The sequence below is a fragment of the Homo sapiens genome, chromosome 1 (assembly GCF_000001405.40).
Source record: "Homo sapiens chromosome 1, GRCh38.p14 Primary Assembly".
Lineage (NCBI taxonomy): Eukaryota > Metazoa > Chordata > Mammalia > Primates > Hominidae > Homo > Homo sapiens.
Window position 1 is genome coordinate 85559554 of NC_000001.11, and position 8322 is coordinate 85567875.

An 8322-nucleotide genomic window follows, 5' to 3' on the forward strand; every position below is an offset into this window, starting at 1 on the left:
GAAGGTAATACCATTAAAACAACTATTATAGCTATGTACTAGTATTTAAAGTAAAACATAATGTGATGAGAAGTGAAAATCTTTTTTTAAAGAATCAAATAGAACTTCTAGGGATGAAGAGTATAACATCTAAAATAAAGATTTCACTGGATGAGTGTAGAAGCAGATATGACTCTGCAGAAGAAAAGACCAGTGAACATGAGGGCATAGCAAATTAGAATATACCCAAAATGAAGCACACAGAAAAAGACTGAAAAAAAAAAAATGAACAGAGCTTTTTGTCTTGTGGAATAATAGCAAGCAGTCTAACACATGCAAACTTGTCCACATGGAGAGAAGTAGGAGGACAGAACGAGTATAAATTATGGTGAGAAAATTTCCCAATTTGATAAAAAGAATAAACCCACAGATCCAAGAATCTAATTAAATCCCATGCAGGATAAAAAATGAATGACACCAAGACAAATCATTGAAAACCAGTGATAAGGAGAAAATACCAAAAGCAGCCAGAGAGAAAAAGACTAATTACCTACAAGTAATCAAGATGAAATAAACAGCAGACTTTTTGTCAGAAATATGTAAGCAAAAATACAATGGAACAACATCTTTAACATGCTAAAAGAGGCAGGGGAAGGGAAAGCCTGTCAATCTACAATTCCGAACCCAGAAAAAATATTCTGCCTAAATGAAGGCAAAATAAAAACTGTTTTAGAAAAATAAAAGCAAACAGAACTTACTGTTGGCAGACCTGAACTATAAGAAATGTTCAAAGAAGTTCCTCTAGTAAAAGAAAAATCATATGAGAGAAATTTGGATCTATACAAAGGAATAATGAATGTCAGAAATGATAAACATGTGAGTAAATATGAAATACTTTCTTTAAAAGATAATTGAAGCAAAAATATTTACAATGAAGTATGGCGTTTGTAACATATATAGAAGTACGATATATGATGCAATAGCACAAAGACTCTTGGGGGAAAATGAAAATATATTATTGTAAGGTTCTTACATTATATATGAAGTAGTCTAATACTATTTGAAGAGAGACTAGTAAGTTTAACAATGCATATTGCAAACCCCAGAGCAATCAATTAAAAAAATAAGTAGCATTAGAATGATTTTAACATTGGAAGTATATAGAAAATAATAAAAAAGAATAAGGCTTAAATCCTTTGGAGAAACTAAGTATCAATTCTGACTGAACTGATTATTGCTTATAAGAAACTGGCAACCTATTTTGAAAAAGTGTATGTTATCTAATGAGAATCTTTAATGTGTCTCTAATTAATATTAATGTATAAACATTAAGGTTTTTTTTCCTATTGATTCTACATTTTTTGATGGAAAGTAAACAAATTAATGAGCATCTTTAACACAAAATTAACTGAAATTTTTAAAAATGTATGTTCTTTGTGTAATAAAATCTATATTATGTTATTCTACATCATTAAATATTTGTTTACTTTTCCTCATACGACTTTAACAAAAAGATAATGTCATTCCATTTCAGGGAGTGTATCCTAGTGGTTTACATATAGACTTTAGTATCTGACTATCTGGGTTCCAACCTTAGCTTGACTATTTACCAGATACATGACTGTGAGCATGTTACTTCATACCTTTGTATTGTAGTTTCCTGTAATGTAGGGAAAATAGTGCCTACCTCAAAGAGTTATTAGGAGGATCAAATGAATTAATATATTGAAAGCATTTAAAAACATACCAGGAAAATAGCAAGTACTATAAGAGTGTTAACTATAATTTATAAAAATTACTATACTATGGCTAGAGGACTGAGATCCAAAGAGATAAAAAATACAGATGTTGTAAAAAGAAAAAACTACTTGAGAACTATTAGGTTGGTGCAAAAGTAATTGCACCAACCTAATAGAAGAGCTACTTTAGTTCTACCCTATCACTAACTAGCTGTGTGGCCACAGACATGATGCTAAATGTCTCTGGGCCTCATTTACTCATGTGTTCTCTTCTCCCTCATATCCTACTGTGATCTCTTACATAATATTAAGAATCTAGTGTATTATATTGTGTTAAGTACCAAGATAGTCTCTCACGGTTCTTACTGGGGAGAAAGTCACATTTAAAATTAAAGTCACGTTTAAAATTAAAATTAAAGACACAATTAAAATGGTATAACATGTTAGGTGTAATGATGGAGACCAGAGAACTGCCTGCCACTACAGAAAGCCAATGAATCCATGGGCATTACTAAACTCTTGTCACCCAAAGGAAGGTCAACTTAGAACGTATACTTCTATGGCTACTGTTCTAATTTTGACCGTGCTTCTGCCATTGATGATACTAGCTCACGGAACTAAACTTTATTGGATGTTGGATTAGTAGGTGAATGATTCCTTTTGCAGTTTCTTTCTAAGAAGAATTTGCAAATGGCATCAAGGGTCACCCTGTTTGACAGAGTTGCTTCTAATCCCTCCAAATAATGAAGCCAGAATTGACTACACATTTTTATTCTTAGGTAAGAAGCTACTTTTAAGATAGCATCATAGCAGCTAATTACTACAATTTTAAGTTTGAACCCCTTCTAATCCCTAATAATCCAAGGTAGAACAAAAGGCCAAAAAATATACAATGGCTTTATTAAAAAAAAACAGAAAATATGAGAAATTTTAATGCAACAATCTCACTGTATTAACAAATCATATTTAAGAAAAGATAGATATGAAGTTGATTTAGAAATTATTATGACTATCATAAATACTTGAGGATATTTAAAGATAAACTAATAATGCAGGGCATTTTTAATAGTTTACCACAAAGACCAGTCATGTTTGTTCCCTTTAAAATATGATTTAATCAAAAAGAAGAATAAAAGTTTCTGTTATGGGTTGAGTTGTGTCCCCCAAAAAGATAGGTTGAAATCCTAAGGCCTAGTACCTGAGAATGTGGCCTTGTTTGGAAATAGGCTGTTTACAGATGTAACAAAGTTAAGATGAGGTCATACTGAATTGGGATGGACCTAATCCAATGACTGGTACCCTTCCATAGAAAGAGGAAATTTGATCACAGAGACACAGGCACATGGAAGAGAAGCCATGGAAAGATGGAAGCAGATATTGGAGCGACGCATACACAAACCAAGGAACACTGAGAACTGCTGGAAGCCACCAGAAGCTAGAAGAAATAATTATTTTCTATAACCATTGAAGGTAGCATGGCCCTGCTAACACCTTGATTTCAGACTCTCAGCCTCCAGAACTGTGAAAGAATAAATTTCTGTTGTTTTAAGCCACCCAGTTTACAGTACTTTGGTATGGCAGCCCTCAGGAATTAATACAGATACTCCAGCAAAATTCCAATGGCAGGACTTCTACTTTCAAGCCAAAATGGAGGAACAATGATTTTCCTGCCTGAAACAAATAATAAAACTGGACAAATTATATAAAACAACATTTTTCAGACATAGGACATCAAACTGCACAGTATAGTGATTGCTTAGAGTGGGGAAATAAGACAAGACCTACAATTATCCCAGCTTACTGCTTGAAAAGAAGATCTAAGCTGTAGCACAGGCAGGGGGAACCCAGGCAGTCTAGCAGTCTCCCTGGGTTGATGAGAGCTAGTTTTTTGGTGAAGCAAGTATGTCTAGAGATAATGGGCAGAGTGCTGGACAGGAAAGAGCTACACAAAGAGAGCTCCAGAGATCTGAAAAGGGCACCCCTTATGTCTTCAACTAAGTTCTGTTCAGTACATTCAGATGAAGAAATTATCCCAGGCTGGGGAAAGAACTGCCTAAAAGGAGCAGAAGAAACAGTTCTTGCGACATACAAAGAGCTGGGAATATTTTGTGTTCTCAGCAGCCAGAGTGGAAAACTTCACAAATTATGGGGCAGCAAGTGGGATATTCAGAAAGGTTTTGCCTCAGTCCTGGGGACAAATCAGCCCTAAATTAAATGCCACTTTGGTCTCTACAAAACTTAAAAGTAAGACTTGAAAGCATTAAACAGTTTCCAAGTAACTGTGTTCCAAAACAAAATTCAAGAATATTTTAAGGAATATAATATCTAGCACCCGACAAGGTAGAATTCACAATGTATGACATCCACTCAAAACTTACTAGCATGCAAATAAGCAGAAAAACATGATCTATAAAATTAGGAGAAAAATTAATCAATGTAAACAGACTCAGAAATGACACACATGATAGAATTAGTAGATAAAGAGATTAAGAGTTATTATTTTAACTATATTCCATATATTGAAAAAGGTCAAGGAAAGATTAAGCATGCTAAGTAGCAACATGGAAGATATTTTAAAAGACCCAAGTCAAGCTTCTAGAGTTAAAACTACAATGTCTAGAGCTGGGCGTGATGGCTCACGCCTGTAATCCCAGCACTTTGGGAGGCCAAGTTGGGCAGATCAAAAGGTCAGGAGATCGAAACCATCCTGGTCAACATGGTGAAACCCCGTCTCTACTAAAATACCAAAAATTAGCTGGGCATGGTGGTATGCACCTGTAGTCCCAGCTACTCGGGAGGCTGAGGCAGGGGAACCGCTTGAACCCTGGAGGCGGAAGTTGCAGTAAGCTGAGATTGCACCATTGAGCTCCAGCCTGGCAACAGAGCAAGACTCCATCTCAAAAACAAAACAAAACAAAACAAAACAAAACTACAATGTCTGAGATAAAAAAATATATATAATAAATGTGATTAACAGCAGATTATATACCTCCCATAAAAGATTAATGAACTTGAGATATAGCATTAGAAACTTTCCATAGTGAAAACAGGGAAAAAGACTAAAAGTAAAAAACAAAGAGAGTTCCAGTGAGTTGGTGAAAACTTTGAATGACCTAATACATATGTAATTGGAGTCTTTGAAGTGCAGAGAGGGGTAGTGGTGAGGCCAAAACACATTTGAAAAAATAATAGCTGAAATTTTTGTTTAAATTTCGTGAAAAATTTAAACTCACAGATCCAAGAACACCAAGTGCAAGAAACATGAAGAAAACTACACCCAAGGCACATCACAAATTGCTTAAAAATGGTAATAAAGCCAGGTGCAGTGGTTCATGCCTGTAATCCTAGCACTTTGGGAGGCCAAAGAAGGCAGATCACTTGAGGTTAGGAGTTCGAAACCAGCCTGGTCAACATGGTGAAACCCCATGTCTACTAAAAATACAAACAAATGAGCCAGGCATGGTGGCGGGTGCCTGTAATCCCAGCTACTCAGGAGGCTGAGGCATGAGAATCACCCAGGAGGCAGAGGTTGCAGTGAGCCGAGATTGTGCCACTGCACTCCACCCTGGGCAACAGAGCAAGACTATGTCAAAAAAAAAAAAAGGAGAAATTCTTAAAAGCAGCCAAAGAAAAGATACATCGTGGCCAGGCGCAGTGGCTCACGCCTGTAATTCCAGCACTTTGGGAGGCCAAGGCAGGCGGATCACGAGGTCAGTAGTTTGAGACCAGCCTGGCCAACATGGTGAAACCCCATTTCTACTGAAAATACAAAAAAAAAAGATTAGTTGAGTGTGGTGGCACACACTTATAGTCCCAGCTACTCAGGAGGCTGAGACAGGAGAATCACTTGTACCCAGGAGGCAGAGTTTGCAGTGAGCCGAGATTGTGCCACTGTACTCCAGCCTAGGCAATGGAACGAGACTCCGTTAAAAAAAAAATGCATAAAGAAGAACAAATTTTTGAATGTCAGCTGATTTCTCATCAGAAACAACATAAGCCAGAAGCAGCAGGGCTATAATGCAATGAAAGAAAATACTGCCAACCTAGAAGTCCAATATCCAGTAAAAATATCTTCCAAAAATTAAGGTGAATATACAAATGAGTGCATAAAACAACGGGTTAAAACCTTATTAAAGTCTGTAGTCTAGTTATTAGTATTGCTCTCATGTCAATTTCCTGGTTTGATATTGTACTAGTGATAAGATGCCACTCTTGGAGGAAGCTGGGTGAAGGGCTCATTAGATTGACTCTATGAACTATTTTTGCGACTTCCTATGAGCCTATATTATTTCAAAATAAAAAGTTGAAAAAAAGAAAATAAAAAAAAGTTTTTCAGATATTCAAAAGCTAAAAGAATCCATTGCCAGCACACCTGCTCAAGAAACATTAAAAGAAGTGCTTCAGGCAGAAGCAAAAATAATACCTAAACAAAGGAATAAGGAGCACCAGAAATGGTAAATATAAAAGACTTTTGTCTCATTTTGTATATCTTTCTAAAGATAATTGGATGTTTAAGGCCAAAATATTGGCTGGGTGAGGTGGCTCACGCCTGTAATCCCAGCACTTTGGGAGGCCAAGGTGGGTGGATCACCTGAGGTCAAGAGTTCGAGACCAGGCTGGCCAACATGGCAAAACCCTGTGACTACTAAAAATACAAAAATTAGCTGGGTGTGGTGGCACGCGCCTGTTATCCCAGCTACTCGGGAGGCTGAGACAGGAGAATCACTTGAACCCAGTAGGCGGAGGTTGCAGTGAGTCGAGATCACACCATTGCACTCCAGCCTGGGCAACAAGAGCAAAACTCTGTCTCAAAAAAAAAAACAACCAAAAAACAAAAAACCAACAACAAAGAGTTATAGTTCATCAGCCAATAAAAAAGGAAATACAACAGAATAAAACAATTCAATCCCCAAAAGGAAGAAAAGGTAGACAGTATTAAAAAGTAGAGAATGGGCCATGTGAGGTGGCACATGCCTGTAATCCTAACACTTTGGGAGGTCAAGATGGGTGGATTGCTCCAGCCCAGGAGTTCAGCCTGGGCAATATAGTGAGAGCTCATTTCTACAAAAAATTATCTGGGTGTGGTGGTGCACACCTGTAGTCCCAGCTACTCAGGAGACTGATGTGGGAGGATGGCTCGAGCCTGGGAGGTGACAGTTGCAGTGAGCCAAGATCGCACCACTGCACTCCAGCCTGGGTGACAGAGCGAGACCCCATCTCAAAAAAAAAAAAAAAGAAAAGAAAGAAAAATAAAGTAGTAGAGAATGTCACATTGAATAAGAAAGCAAAACCCAAACTATAAGAAACCTAATTTAAATATAAAGACACAAGTAGGTTAAAAGCAAAAGGATTTTTCAAATAGCATATAAATACTAATCAAAAGAAAACTAGAATAGGGATTAGATTTCAGAACAAAGAATATTACTAGGGATAAAGAAATTGTATTAGATTAGTTATGGTTCTCCAAAAGAAACAGAACCAGAAAAATGTATGTATGTATATATGTGTGTGTGTGTGTACATGTGTGTACGTGTGTGTATGTGTAGAAGTAGAGAGAGATTTATTATAAGGAATTGGCTTATGTGAGTATGGAGGCTGACAAGCCCCAGGATCTGTAGTTGGCATGCTGGAGACCTAGGGGAGCTGATGGTGTAGTTCCAGCCTGAAGGCCAGCAGGCTTGAAACCTATGAAGAATCAATGTGTCAGATTGAGACTGAAGGCAGAAGAAACCTCCCATCTCAGCTCAAAGGTAATCAGGCAGGAAGAATTACCTCATACAGAAGAGTCAGTCTTATTGTTCTATTCAGGCCTTCAGCTGATTGGATGAGGCCCACTCACATCAGAGAGCACCATCTGCTTTACTCAGTCTACTGATTCAAATGTTAACCTCATCCAAAAACACCCACACAGACACACTCAGAATGTTCAACCAAACATCTGGGACCCTGTAGCCCTGTCAAATTTAACACATAAAATTAACCATCAATGATATGGTTTGGCTCTGTGTCCCCACCCAAATCTCATCTTGTAGCTTCCATAATTCCCAGGTGTTGTGGGAGGGACCTGGTGAGAGATGATTGAATCATGGGGGCGGGTATTTCCCGTGCTATTCTCATGATAGTGATAGGTCTCACAAGATCCAATGGTTTTAAAAATGGGGAGTTTCTCTGCACAAGCTCTCTTTTTGCTTGGTGCCATCCATGTAAGATGTGACTTGCTCCTTTTTGCCTTCCACTGTGATTGTGAGGCCTCTTTAGCCATGTGGGACTGTAAGTCCAATAAACTTCTTTCTTTTTTAAATTGCCCAGTCTCAGGTATGTCTTTATCAGCAGCGTGAAAACAGACTAATTATGAAATGAAAGAGTCATTTCAGAATCACAGATGAGTCAATTTATCCAGAGGATATAGCAATTCTAAATGTTTATCCATCTAACAACAGAAGTTCAAAATACATCGAGCAAAACCTAACAGAAGTAAAAAGAAAAATAGACATATTCATAATTGTAGTTGGAGATTTCAATATTCCTCTCTCAATTATCCAAAGAATAGGTAGACAAAAAAATCAACACTATCAAACAATTTTGCCTAACTGACATGTATGGA

General features: G+C 37.1%; 1 protein-coding gene across 2 annotated transcripts in view; it reads right to left on the bottom strand.

The window, feature by feature from the left end:
* Nucleotides 1-8322, bottom strand: part of DDAH1 (dimethylarginine dimethylaminohydrolase 1) — a 259716-nt gene that overhangs the window by 241069 nt on the left and 10325 nt on the right. The gene's annotated exons all lie outside the window — the stretch shown is intronic.